A 14,467-nucleotide genomic window follows, 5' to 3' on the forward strand; every position below is an offset into this window, starting at 1 on the left:
TCACCTCTCCTTCCTGAAACCTCAACTGCCCCTCATGGGATTTCTGACCGCCTTGTGGTACCCCTAGCGGGCCCGAGGTGCACCCGGGGCTCGAACCGGGGTCTCCAGCGTCCACAGCGCCCAGCGCAGGGACTGATGGGAAGGCATTTTCATCCTTGGGGGACCCAGGCCCAGGTTCTCCTAGGCGCGGCTTGTTTTCTTTTTTTTTTTTCTGCCACAGGTTCCTCACCTCTCCTCCCTCAAACGTCAACTTCCCATCATGGGCTTTCTGCTCGACTTGGGGTACCCCTAGCTGCCCAAGGCGCTCCCTGGACTCGAACCATGGATGCCAGAGTCGCCGGGGCCTAGCGCAGGGGCTGATGGGAAGGTACCTTCATCCGTGGGTACCCAGGCCCCGCTTCTCAAAGCTGCGGTTTTTTTCTCCGCCCCAGGTGCCTCACCTTCCCCTCACTGGCCCTCTGCCTGCTTTGGGGTACCACGCGCAGGCCCGAGGCGCTCCCGGGTCTCCAATCAGGGTCGCCAGGTTCTCGGGGCTAGCGCAGGGGCTGATGGGAAGGCACTTTCATCAGTGGGGACCCAGGCCCGGCTTCTCCGAGGTGCTGATATATATATATATATGTATTTTTTTTTTCTGACACAGGTGACTCACCTCTCCTCCCTTAAATCTCGCCTTCCTCTCATGGGCTTTCTGGCTTCCTTAGGGTACCCTAGCATGCTGGAGTCTCTTCTGGACCTTGAACTAGGGTCGCCAGAGTCCAGGGGGCCCAGCGCAGGGGCTGATGAGAAGGCACTTTCGTCCGTGGGAGACCCAGGTCCCGCTTCTCTTCCGCACGGTTTTTTTTTTTTCTGTCGCAGGTGCCTCACCTCTCTTCCCTCAAACCTCACCTTCCCCTCATGGGCCTTCTGCCCGCTTTGGGATACACCTAGCGGGCCCGAGGTGCACCCAGGCCTATAACCAGGTTCGCCTGGGTCCACGGGGCCCAGTGCAGGGACTGATGGGAAGGCACTTTCTTTCCATGGGAGACCCAGGCCCCACTTCTCCGTGGCGTGGTTTCTTTTTCTTTTCTGCCACAAGTGTCTCACCTCTCCTCCCTCACAGCTCACCTTCCTCTCATGGGCTTTCCACCGCCTTGGGGTACCCCTAGTGGCCCGAGGCTCTCACTGAGCTCGAACCAGGGACTCTAGATTCCCCGGGGCCCAGTGCAGGGCCTGATGGGAAGGCACTTTCATCCGTGGGGTACCCAGGCCACACCTTTCCGCGGCACGGGTTTCTTTTTTTTCTTTTACTGTGACAGGTGCCTCACCTCTCCTCCCTCAAAACTCACCTTCCCCTCACGGGCTTTGTGTCCCCAAAGCCCCCCTTGGGGTGCACTTGGCGGCCGAGGCACACCCTGAGCTTGAACGAGGGATACCAGGGTCCCTGGGTCCCAGTTCAGGGACTGATGGGAAGACACTTTCGTCTGTGGGGCACCCAGGCCGTGCTTCTCCGCGGCGAAGTTTTTCTTTTTTTCTCTGCCCCAGGTGCCTCACCTTCCCCTTAGGGGCTTTCTGCCCACCTTGGGGTACCCCTACTGTCCCGAGGCGTACCCCAGGGTCAAACCAGGGACGCCAGGGTCCCCAGGGCCCAGGGAAGGGGCTGATGGGATGGCACTTTCATCCGTGGGGGGCCCAGGCACTGCTTCTCGGCTGAGCGTTTTTTTTTTCTCTGCCTCAGGTGCCTCACCTTCCCCTCATGGACCTTTTGTTCGCTTTGTGGTACCCCAAGCTGTCCTGAGGCGCACCCTGGGCTTGAACCAGGGTCCCCAGTGTCCACCAGGCCCAGCATAGGGCCTAATGGGAAGGCACTTTCATCCGTGGGGAACCCAGGTCCCGCTTCTCTGATACGCGGTCCTCTTTTTTTTTTTTTCTGCCCCTGCTGCCTCACCTCTCCTCCCACAAACTTCAACTTCCACTCATGGGCCTTCTGTCCAAGTTGGGTTACCCCTAGTCGCCTGAGGCACACCCTGGGCGTGAACCAGGGATGCCAGGGTCCCTGGGGCCCAGCGCAAGGGCTGATGGGAAAAAACTTTCGTCCCTGGATGACCCAGACACCGCTTCGCGGCGCATTTTTTTTTCTTCTTTGCCCCAGGTGTCTCACCTTCCCCTCATGGGCCTTCTGCCTCTCTGCGCCTGCGCCGGCGCTGTGGGCCTCTCTGCGCCTGCGCCGGCGCTGTGGGCCTCTCTGCGCCTGCGCCGGCACTGTGGGCCTCTCTGCGCCTTTCGCCAGCGCTGTGGGCCTCTCTGGGCCTGCGCCGGCGCTGTGCTCCTTTGTGAGGGCGGAGCTGCGTTCTTCCCAGCACAGACAAGGAAAGCATCGCCAGGGCGGAGCTGAGTTCTCCTCTGCACAGACTTCAGAGATACAGCGAAGGCGGAGCAGTGTTCTCCTCAGCACAGACCCAGGCGGGCCGGGGGCACCGCGAGGGCGGAGCCGCGTTCTGCTCAGCACAGACCCGGGGGACACCGCTAAGGCAGAGCAGCCTTCTCCTCAGCACAGACCTTTGGGGCACTGCCTCGCTTTGGGACAACTCGGGACCGCATAGACGGTGAATAAAATCCTTCCCTTTTGCAGCCCTGAATAATCAGGATCAGAGACCAGTTAGAAGGGCTCAGTGTGGAAAAGGGAAACCAAAAGCCCCTCTGAATCCTGACCACCGAGGTTCTCCCCAGCCAAGCCGAGGCGGCCGCAGTGCGAGATCCACACCGCAGCCTCGGAAGACAAATGCAGCATTCCTAATGCAGACATGACACCCAAAATATGACACCCCCATTGCTCATGTAACAAGCACCTGTAATGCTAATGCACTGCCTCAATACAAAAATATTAATATAAGATCCGCAATCCCCTTGCTGCCATGCAGTCCTAAGACAGAGATCATAATAATCAACATTGGCATAGTACAAACGTAGTAACGAACCTAGGGTTAAGGTTGGTGTTAGGGTTAGGGGTTAGGGGTTAAGTTTAGGGTTGGGGTTTGAGATAGGGGTTGGGGTCAGAGTTAAGAGTTAAGAGTCAACGTTTAGAGTTAGAGGTTAGGAGAGGTTAGGGGTTAGGGATAAGGGGTTAGGGTTGGATTAGTGTGAGGGTGAGGGTTGTGGTTAGGGGTTAGGCTTAGGGTTTATGGTTAAGGGTTAGGGTTAGGGGTTAGGGTTAGGGTCAGGGGTTAGGGGTCAGGGTCAGAGGTTAGGGATCAGGGTCAGGGGTCAGGGTCAGGTTCAGGGGTCCCACTCTTTGAGTTGTCCATTTACTCTGCTGACTGTTCCCTTTGCCATGCAAAAGCTGTTTAGTTTAATTAAGTCCCAGCTATTTATCTTTGTTTTTATTGCATTTGCATTTGGGTTCTTGGTCATGAAATCCTTGCGTATGTCAATGTCTAGAAGGGTTTATCCAGTGTTATCTTCTAGAATTTTTATAGTTCAGGAATTAGGTTTAAGTTCTTAATCCATCTTGAGTATATTTTTGTATAAAATGAGAGATGAGAGTCCAGTTTTATTCCCCTACATGTGGCTCGCCAATTATCCCAACATCATGTGTTGAAAAGGGAGTCCTTTCTCCACTTTATGTTTTTGTTTACTTTGTCGAAGATCAGTTGGCTGTAAGTATTTGGGTTAATTTCTGAGTTCTCTCTTCTGTTCCATTGTTCTATGTTCCTATTTTTAAACCAGTACGTTGGTGTTTTGGTAGCTATGGCCTTATTGTACAGTTTGAAATCAAGTAGTGTGATACCTCCAGGTTCTTTTTGCTTAGGCTTGGTTTGGTTACATGGCTCTTTTTTGGTTCCATATTAATTTTAGAATTGTTTTTGTAATTTTGTGAAGAATGATGGTGGCTTTCAGATGGGGATTGCATTGAATTTGTAGATTGCCTTTAACAGAATGGTAATTTTCACAATATTGGTTCTACCCATCCATGAGCATGGGGATGCATTTCCATTTGTTTGTGTCATCTATGACTTATTTTCTTTCGTTTTTTTTTTTTTTTTTTTTTTTTTTTCAGAGGGAGTTTAGCTCTTGTCGCTGAGGTGTGAGTGCAATGGTGTGATCTCGGCTCACTACAACTTCTGCCTCCCGGGTTCAAGTGATTCTCCTGCCTCAGCTTCCCGAGTAGCTCGGATTATAGGCATGTGCCACCGTGCTTGGCTCCATCTATGATTTCTTTCAGTAGTGTTTTGTAATTTTCATTGTAGCTGTCCTTTTATTTCTTTGCTAGGTATATTCCTAAGTTTTGTTTTTTTGTTGTTGTTTGTCGCAGCTATTGTAAAAGGGGTTGAGTTCTTGATGTGATTCTCTGCTTGGTAGCTGTTGATGTATGGAAGAGCTACTGATTTGTGTCCATTAATCTTGTATCTGGAAACTTTGCTGAATTCTTTTATCAGTTCTAGGAGGTTTCTAGAGGAGTCCGTAGCGTTTTCTAGGCAAAAGATTATATCATCAGCAACAAGTGACAGTTTGACTTCCTGTTTACCGATTTGGATTTCCTCTATTTCCTTCTTTTGTCTGATTGCTCTGGCTAGGACTTCCAGTACTATGTTGAAGAGGAGTGGTGAGAGTAGGCTCCTCGTCTTGTTCCAGTTCTCAAAGGGAATGCTTTCACCGTTTCCCCATTCAGTATTATGTTGGTTGTGGGTTTGTCATAGATGGCTTTTATTACATTAAGGTATGTCCCTTGTATGCCTATTTTGCTGAGAGCTTTAGTCATAAAGCAATGCTAGATTTTGTCAAATGTTTTTTCTGCACCTGTTGATATAATCATATTAGTTTTTTTTAATTCTGTTTATTTGGTGTATCACACTTATTGACTTGCATATGTGAAACCACTCCTATATCATTGGTATAAAACCCACTTGATCATGGTGGATTATTTTTTGATATGTTGTCGGATTCAGTTAGATAGTATTTTGTTAAGGATTTTGGCATCTGCGTTCATCAAGGATATTGGTCTGTAGTTTTCTTTTTTGGTTATGTCCTTCCATGGTTTTGGTATTAGGGTGATTCTGGCTTCATAGAATGAATAAGGGAGGGTTTCTTCTTTCTCTGTCTTGTGGAATAGTATGAAAAGATTGGTATCATTTCTTCCTTGAATGAAAGAAGACATTCTTTGAATGTCTGGTAGAATTCTGCTGTGAATCTGTCTGTCCCTCGGCTTTTTTTGCTGGTAATTTTAAAATTACCATTTCAATCTTGCTGCTTGCTTTATTGGTCTGCTTGGGGTATCTAATTCTTCCTGATTTAAGCTAGGAGAGTTGTATTTTTCCAGGAGTTTATGTGCCAAAAGGTGTTCATAGTACCCTTGAATAATCTTTAATATTTCAGTGGTGTCAGTTGTAAGATCCCCTGTTTCATTTCTTATTGAGGTTATTTGGATTTTCTCTCTTCTTTTCTTGGTTAATTTTGCTAATGGTCTATCAATTTTATTTATCTTTTCAAATAACCAACTTTTTGTTTTATTTATGTTTTGTATTTGTTGTTGTTGTTGTTGTGTCAATTTCATTTAGTTGTGCTCTGATCTTTGTTATTTCCTGTGTTTGCTGGGATTGGGTTTGGCTTGTTCCTGCTTCTCTAGTTCCCTGAGAAGTGAACTTAGATTGTCTGTTTGTGCTCTTTCAGACTTTTTGATGTAGGTTTTTAGGACTACAAACTTTGCTCTTAGCAGTGCCTTTGCTGTATCCCAGAGGTCTTGATAGGTTATGTCATCCAGTTCAAAGAAATTTTTTACATTTCCATCTTGATTTCATTTTTCACCCAATGCTCATTCTGTGAGGAACAACAAATTGTTTTCCGCAGCAAGGGCATCATTTTCTATTCCTAGCAGCCAGATCATGAGGGCTCCAACTTCTCCACCTCCTTAGCAACATTTATTTTCTGTGTCATTGTTATGAAAGCCTTACTTGTGGATGCAGAGTGGCATGAATGAAGTCAATTAACACGTTTATTACCTCACAGAATAGTCACCTTTTTGTGTGCATGGGTGGGATAAGAAAACTTAACTCTATCCCCTGTGACGGAATAGTGGCCATTCCAGCTGCTCCAGGCTCCAGCAGAGGAAGACCGGGGTATGTGGCCCCACCAGGGTGACCCTCAGGCCTGGCGCGCACGCATTCCAGAGGCCACCCAAACCATGCTCCGCCATCTGGGCGCCCAAGCTGCCGTCGCCCTCTGTGTGCAGGCAGCAGCTGCCTGGCAACCCCCGAGCCCGCTCGCGCTCCTAGCATCATAGAAGCAGGGCCACGTGTCCCAGTGGCTGCAGCCAAGCCAGGCATTCTGCCCTGCTGCAGCAGCTGCACAGGAGCGAGAACTGAGAAGCCACCGCTCAACCCCACACGAGGTGACTGCCGAGTGCCCATACAAATGGCTCCGATCTCCCTCAGGTGGAGGAGTGGTCGGGAGGCACGGCCTGGGGGCCCTCACGCTGGGCGCGCTGGTGATCCCAAGGCCGACCAGGCCATGCACCTCCAGCCCGCCTGGGCACCCGAGCTGCAGCCGCCTTCTGCGTGCAGGCAGCAGTCTCCAGGCAACTCCCGAGCCCGCCCACACTCCCCACATCTCGGAAGCAGGGCCAAATGTCCCTGTGGCTGTGGCCAAGCCAGGCGGTCTGTCCCGCAGCAGCTGCACAGGGGCGGGAACCGGCCCTCAGCCCCATCCCCTGTGGCTGCAGAGGGCCCCTGGATAGAGATGTGGAGCTCTGACAGAGGAGGAGCCGGGCCGGGACAGGGTCTGGCAGGCTCTCAGGCCAGGGGCACCCGCGATCCAGAGGCTGCCCAGGGCATGCTCCACCACCTGGGCGCCCAGCTACAGGCGCCGGGCGACTCCCAAGCTGGCTGGCGCTCCCAGCCTCGCAGAACCGGGGCTAGATGTCGCCGTGGCTGCGACCAAGCCAGGCGGTCTGCCCAGGGGCGGCTGCACCGGGGCAGGAACCGACCCTCAGCACCATCCCCGGTGGCTGCAGACGGCCCCTGGGGTGGCCCCGATCTCTCTTCGGAGGAGGAGAGGGGCGGGAGTCACGGCCAGGCGGGCCCTCAGGCGGGAAGGAATGTGCGCCTGCCATTCCGGGACGTCCCGCGCCAGCCCAGGAGAACCCGCAAGCCAGCGGCGCCTGTTTCTCTGTGTGATTCTTTGAGGAACCACCAAACTCTTTTCCACAGCAAGTGCATCATTTTCTATTCCTAGCAGCCAGTTCATGAGGGTTCCAGTTTCTCCACCTCCTTAGCAACATTGATTTTCTGTGTCGTTGTTATGAAAGCCTTACTAGTGGATGCAAAGTGGCATCTCATTTGGGTTTTACCTTGCATTTTATTAATGAATAATGGTGTTTAGCATCTTTTCTTTTCCTTCTTAGACATTTGTGTATCTTCTTTGGAGAAATGTCTGTTCAAGTCCTTTGACTATTTTTTAATTGGGATCTTAGAAATTCTGTTGTTGAGCTGTGGGATATTAAGCTTTTATCAGATACACATTTTGATTTTATCAGATACATATTTTCTCACATATTATGGGTTGTCTTTTCACTCCCTTGATAGTATCCTTTGATGCATAAAGGGTTTTTTATTTTGATTCAATCTAATTTTCCTGTATTTTCTTTTGTTATCTGTGCTTTTCTGTCACATTTCAAAATACACTTAAAACTCAAAGGCCATAAAGGTTTACCGTGTGTTTTCTTCTAAGAGTTACATATTTTTAGTCCTTACATTTAAGTCTTTTATTAATTTAGAATTAATTTTTGTATATACTGCAAGGTAGGGGTCTAACTTCTCTCTTGTGCACTGACATCCAGCTGTTGAAGAGACTGTTCTTTCCTCCCTTGACTAGACTTGGCCACCTTGTTGAACAGTCATTGACCATATATGTGAGGACTAACTTGTAGTATCTCAAATCTGTTCTGTTGTATTGGTCTGAAAGCCTATTGGTCTTATTCCAGTACCACACTCTCTTGATTACTGTAGATTTGTAGTAGGCTGTGAAACTGAAAAATGTGAGTTTTCCAATGTTCTTTTTCAAGACTGTTTTGTCTGTCAGATCCTTTGAATTTTTGTATGACTTTAGAATGAGTTTCTTTGTTTCTGCAAAAATGCCTTTGGGATTTTGATGGTATTGCATTGAATCTGTAGATTACTTTAGATGGTATTGTCATCTTAACAATATTGTCTTACAACCCGTGAACACAGAATGTCTTTCCACTTATTTCCACTCTCTTTAGTTTTTTGCAGCAATGTTTTGTGTATACCACCATGGTTAGATTTATGCCTGAATAACGTATTCTTTGATGTCATTATAAATGGAATTTTTAAAATGTTTTCATAGTTCTTTACAACTATATAGAAATATAGCTCATTTGCCTATGTTTGTTTGCATCCTGCCTCTTTTATTAGTTATAATCGGTTTTGTGTTTTGTTTGGAGCTTTATACCCATAAGACCATGTGTAGATATAATTTTACACCTATTCTTTATTTCTAATTTAGATGCCTTTTATTTCTTTGTCTTGCCTAATTGCTCTGGCTAGAACTGCCAGTGCTACGTTGAATACAAGTGGCAAATGCACCATCCTTTTCTTCTAGATGTTAGGAAAACAGCTTTCAGTGTTTCATCATTGATCATGATATTAACTGTTGGGTTTTTGTACATCCCATTGTCATGTTGCAGAAGATCCCTTCTATGCCTAGTTTATTGAGTATTTTTATTATAGAAGGGTGTTGTATTTCATCAATGTTTTCTCTGCAGCAATTGAAATAATCACGTGCTTATTCATTTTACTGTTACAGCATATTACACTGATTGATTTTTTATATGTTGAACCACGCTTGCATTTTGGGGATAAATCTCAAAGGGTGATAGTTTACAATCCTTTGATTATACAGTAGTGCTGCTAGTATTTTGCTAGTATTGCTAGTATTTTGCTGAGATTTTTGCTTATATATTCATAAGGGATATAGTGCTGTATTTCTCTCTTTTGTGCTCTCTTTGTCTTTGGTATAAGGATAATGCTGTTATCAAAAAATGAATTAGCAAGTATTCCTTCTTCATATATTTTGTCAGAAGAGTTTGAGAAGAAATGGTATTAATTCTTCTTTAAATGTTAGGTTGACTCACCAGTTAATGCAGCTATTTGGTCATACATGTTTCTTTGTTAATCGCTTTCGATTACTAATTCAATCTCCTAGGTTATAGGTCTATTCAGATTTTCTCTTTCTTCTTGAGCCACTTTGGTAGTTTGTGTCTTTCTAGCGATTCATCCATTTCATCCAGGGCACCTAATTTGTTGCTAGACAGTTGTTCACAGTATACTCCTGTAATCCTTTTTTATTTCTGTAAAGTTGGTAGTAATGGCTCTGCTTTCATTTATTATTTTAATAATTAGTCTCCCATCTTTTGCTCAGTCAATATAGTGAAAGGCTTGATCTTTCAAAGAATCTACATTTTTTCATTCTACTGTTCTCCAACCTTCTATTTTATTGATTTATGCTCTAATTATGCTCTTTATTATTTCTTTCCTTCTGCTAGCTTTGGATTTAGTCTTCCACCTGGATTTATTTTGGGAGTGATATTGATGTAACTTCATGGAAATAATACTAGATAGAAAGTTAGCGGATAGATTCTCTATCTGATGAGAGTTTGGGGCAAGTCGAGTACCAGGTTACCAAGTTTTATTTTTTTCTCTGACCCAAAAAACAATTTGGCAGCCGGTGAGAAACTCTCACAGCTCTGGATCTGAGTTTAGGACACTGCATTTCTACCATTCAATTTCTTACTACTTTTTTGCACAGGGATCATGGCACAAGTTGCAGTTTCCACCCTGCCAATGGAAGATGAGGAGTCCATGGAAGATGAGGAGTCCATTGAAGATGAGGAGTCTGTTGAAGATGATTCCGTGGAGAGCAGGATGGTGGTAACATTTCTCATATCAGCTCTCGAGTCCACGGTGAGACCTTCTGTTCTAACATGATATAATTGGGTAGAACTGGGTGGTAGATAAGGTTGATTTGTTTTTGTAGAACTTATAATTTTATGATTTGTAGTTCTAATGAGTAGATCTTTTTCTGGAATAGTAGTTATGGTCAAACACTTCTAACCAAATGTGCCATGTTGTCCAGTCTGGTCTCAAAATATGGGGCTCAAGAGACCTGCCCACCTTGGCCTCCCAAAATACTGGGATTACAGGTGTAAGCCCCTGAATCTGGCCAGATATTTTTCTTTTTATGGCTGAATAATACTCTGTGTATGTATATATTACATTTTCTTTATCTATTCACCTACTGATGGGCATTAGGTTTGGGCTACCTTTTGGCCACTGTGAATAATGCTGCTGTTAATTGGGTGTACAAATACCTGTTTGAGTCCCTGCTCTCAGTTCTTTTGGGTATATACGCTTAAAGGGTGTTGATGGATCATATAATTCTATGCTTCATATTTTTAAGGAGCTGCTAAACCATTTTCCACAGTGGGCTGTACCATTTTACATTCCAAAAAGCAATGCATACAGCTTCCAATTTCTCTATAGCATTGCTGACAGTTAATATTTTCTGTTTATGTATTGTATTTTTATAGTGTTTGAAATTAATCTGAGGCTTTTTGCTGATACCAAAATATTAGGAAAGGTTTTCCAAAAATAATACTGCTTATTATAAAGGATTTTACGTGTTACTTGATGCCCTGTGATCTGTTTTCTAAGTAAGAAGAGGAACTTCTTGGCTGGGCACAGCGGCTCATGCCTGTAATCCTAGCACTTTTGGAGGCCGAAGTGGGTAGATCACCTAAGGTCAGGAGTTCAAGACCAGCCTGGCCAACATAGTGAAACCCAGTCTCCACTAAAAAAAAAAAAAAAATTAGCTGGGTGTGGTGGGGGGTGCCTCTAATCCCAGGTATTCGGAAGGCTGAGGCAGAGAATTGATTAAACCCATAAGGCAGAGGTTACAGTGACCGAGATTGCACCACTGCACCCCAGCCTGTGTGACAGAGCGAGAGTTCATCTCAAAAAAAAAAAGGAAAGAAAGAAGAGGAACTTCTCTCCATCCAGCCTCATTCCACTGCACCAACTCTTCTGTGTCGGGTTGTGCAGGAGAGAAAGGGAGCTTGGCAACTCTTTGCTGTGCTGAGTTGTGGTAGCCCATCACTGGGTTGTAAAGTGCCTTGCCTCCTTTCCTCCCCTCCTTTTTTTTTGAGACAGAGTCTCACTCTGTCGTCCAGGCTGAGGTGCAGTGGTGCGATCTCTGCTCACTGCAACCTCAGCCTCCTGGGTTCAAGTGATTCTCCTGCCTCAGCCTCCCAGGAAGCTGGGACTACAGGCACATGCCACCACACCTGGCTAACTTTTTTTTATTTTTAGTAGAGAAAGGGTATCACCATGTTGGCCAGGCTGGTCTTGAACTCCTGACTTCAGGTGATCCACCCACCTTGGCCCCCCAAAGTGCTGGGGTTAAAGGCATGAGACACTGCGCCCGTCCACCTCCTCTTTTACTTGGGAGAAATGCACAGATTCTGGGTGCCATGTGCATTTGTTTTGGGAGTGATAATTGATCTAACTTATGGAAATAATACTAGATAGTTAGCGGATGGATTCTGTATCTGATGAGAGTTTTGGGCAAAACGAATTCCTAGTTTCTGAGTCTTATTTTTCCCCTGATTCAAGAAAACTGTGAATTATCCAGCCAGTAAAAAACTCTCACAGCTCTGGATGTGAGTTTAGGACACTGGATTTCTACCACTCATTTTCTTACTACTTTTCCTGTGCAAGGATCATGGCACAAGTTGCAGTTTCCACCCTGCCCATTGAAGATGAGGAGTCTGTTGAAGATGAGGAGTCCTTGGAGAGCAGGATGGTGGTGACATTCCTGTCAGCTCTCGCCTCCATGGTCAGACCTTCTGTTCTCACATTCTGTAGTTCGGTAGGACTGGGCGGTAGATAAGGTTGATTTGTTTTCGTAGAACTTACAATTTTGTGATTTTTAGTTCTAATGAGTAGACCTTTTTCGTGAATAGTAGTTACGATCAAACACCTCTGACCAAATGTGCATGTGGAGTTTCTACACTGATTTTCAGACAATCTGGATCCCAACTGGGTATCCCACAATTCCATCCTGACACTCCCTGGAGTTAGTGCAGACCCCGCAGGATGGGAGCTCAGTCCCAGGAGTCTACCCTCACTCCACATGCCAATTGCAAGTCTTGGGTTGTTACATGTAGTTTTGACCAACCAGTTAGAAAACAGGGTTTCATGACCCCCATTGGTGGGTGGAATCATTTGCTCGGACAGCTTGCAGAACTCAGAAAAACAGATTGTTTTCTTTTTTTCCTGAGATACAGGGTCTCAGTCTGTTGCCAGGCTGGAATGCAGTGGTGTGATCAAAGCTCACTGTAGCATGGGACTCCTGGGTTCAAGTGATCCTCCCACCTCAGCCTCCCAAATAGCTGAGATTATAGGCCTGTACCAGCATATCTGGCTATGTTCTTTTACTTTTTGTAGAGATGGGGTCTTGTTATGTTGCCCAGGCTGGTCTCAAATTTCTGGGCTCACGTGATCCTCCCACCTCAACTTCACAAAATGCTGGGATTATGGGCATGAACCACTGCATCTCACCAATTTACTTTCTTTTACTGGTTCATTTTAAAGGCTAAATCTCAGAAACAGCCAGTGAAAGAGATGTACATGCTGGGCACAGTGGCTCATGCCTGTAATTTCAGCACTTTGGGAGACTGAGGCGGGAGCATCGCTTAAGTGCTCAGGAGATTAAGACCAGCCTGGGTAACAAGGTGGAAATGTATCTCTACAAAAAGATTTTTCTAAAAATTAGCCAGGCACAGTTATCTATAGTTCTAGCTACTCAGTGCCTATAATTCTAGCTACTCAGGAGGCTGAGGTGAGAGGATGAGAGGATGGGGCTTGAGATAGGGAGGCATAGTTCACAGTGAGCCACGATTGTGCCATGGCACTCTAGGCTGGGAGACAGAGCCAGACTCTGTCTCAAAAAAAAAAAACCCACAGGGCAAGGTATGTCGAAAGGGGTACAGAACTTCCATGTCCTCTATTGTGCATGTTACCTTCCTGGTATCTCCCTTGTGTTCAGCAACCCAGACATTCTCCAACTCCAGTTGTTGAGGGCGCTTATGAACGCTTCATTATGCAGGCAAGATTGATGAAGTCATTGACCATTGGTGATTAAGTCAGTCTTCGGCCACTATTTCTTCCTGGAGCCCAGGGGGTGAGGCTGACAGTTCCAAGCCTCTAATCACATGGTTTGTTCTTCTGACAACAACCACCCCTTTTTCTGAAGCTGTCTAGGAGTTTTCAGTCACCCAGTCATCTCAGTAACATCACCAAATGCATTCTTACTATGGTGATCCCAAAGGTCTTAGAGGCTCTTGTGTTAGAAACCTGGGACTAAGACCAAATATTGAAACAGAAGATGCCCCATCACCTTCATCACCAAGGCCTTTATAAGAGCTTGAGAAGCTCTGTGCCAGGATGACGGGCAGAAACCAAATGTGTATTTCTTTTCTTTTTCTTTTGAACACAGAGTCTCTGTTTCACCCAATCTGGAGTGCAGTGATGTTGTTGTAGCTAACTGCAGCCTCAACCACCTGTGCTCAAGCAATTCTCCCACCTCAGCCTTCCAAGCATCTGGGACTACAGGTGCACACCATCCATGCCCAGCTAATTTTTGTATATTTTTGGAGAGGTGGGATCTTGTTATATTGCCGAGGCTGGTCTTGAACTCTGGGGCTAAAGCGATCCATTCACCACAACCTCTCAAGTAGCTGAAACTACAGATGCATACTACCATGCCCAGCTAATTTTTTCTTATTTCTTTTTGTTGTTTAATTGAGGGGGTCTCGCTGTGTTTCCCAGGCTGGTCCTGAAGTTTTGGCCTCAAACGTTTCTCCTGCTTTGACCTCCTAAACTGTTGGGATTATGGTTGTGAGCCACGGCCTCTGTGTCCAGCAATCACAAGAGGTCTTTATAAGTGAAAGAGGGAGGTAAGAGAGTCCGAATTGAAGGAGATTTGATGATGGAAGCACAGGTCACAGAGGGAGATTCGAATATGCTTTGCTTCTGGCTTTGAAGATGCAGTTAGGGGCCATGAGCCAAAGAATAGGAGTGGCTTTAGCAACTGGGAAAGGCAAGGGAACATATTCTCTCCAGAACCTCCAGAAGGGATGCAGTCCTGCTGGCACCTTGACTTTAGCCTTAATAGACCTATTTTGGACTTCTGGCCCCCAGACCTCTTAGTTAGTAGATTTGTGGTGTATTAAGCCACTCAATGTAGGGTAGTTTGTAACAGCGGCAAGAAGAAATGAACATGAAGCCAGAATTGGTGGCCCACACCTATAATTCCAGCTATTTAGGAGGCTGAGGCAGGATGGTTGCTTTGGCCCAGGAGTTCACGGTAAGTCTGGGCAACAAAATAATACCCTGTCGACATGGAAAAAAAAAATTAGCGG

The 14,467-nt window shown here is 46.2% G+C and overlaps 1 long non-coding RNA gene and 1 pseudogene across 1 annotated transcript; both read left to right on the top strand.

Moving 5' to 3' along the window:
* The first annotated feature begins 2,311 nt into the window (after nucleotides 1-2,311).
* On the top strand, nucleotides 2,312-13,003 carry LOC107984037 (uncharacterized). The gene is made up of 3 exons (XR_001755416.3): nucleotides 2,312-2,582; nucleotides 9,796-9,950; nucleotides 11,763-13,003. It is a non-coding gene; the product is annotated as an uncharacterized LOC107984037 (long non-coding RNA).
* On the top strand, nucleotides 5,842-7,203 carry LOC107984030 (translation initiation factor IF-2-like; annotated as a pseudogene).
* Nucleotides 13,004-14,467: the final 1,464 nt, after the last annotated feature.

The sequence above is a fragment of the Homo sapiens genome, chromosome 22 (assembly GCF_000001405.40).
Source record: "Homo sapiens chromosome 22, GRCh38.p14 Primary Assembly".
Classification (NCBI taxonomy): Eukaryota; Metazoa; Chordata; class Mammalia; order Primates; family Hominidae; genus Homo; species Homo sapiens.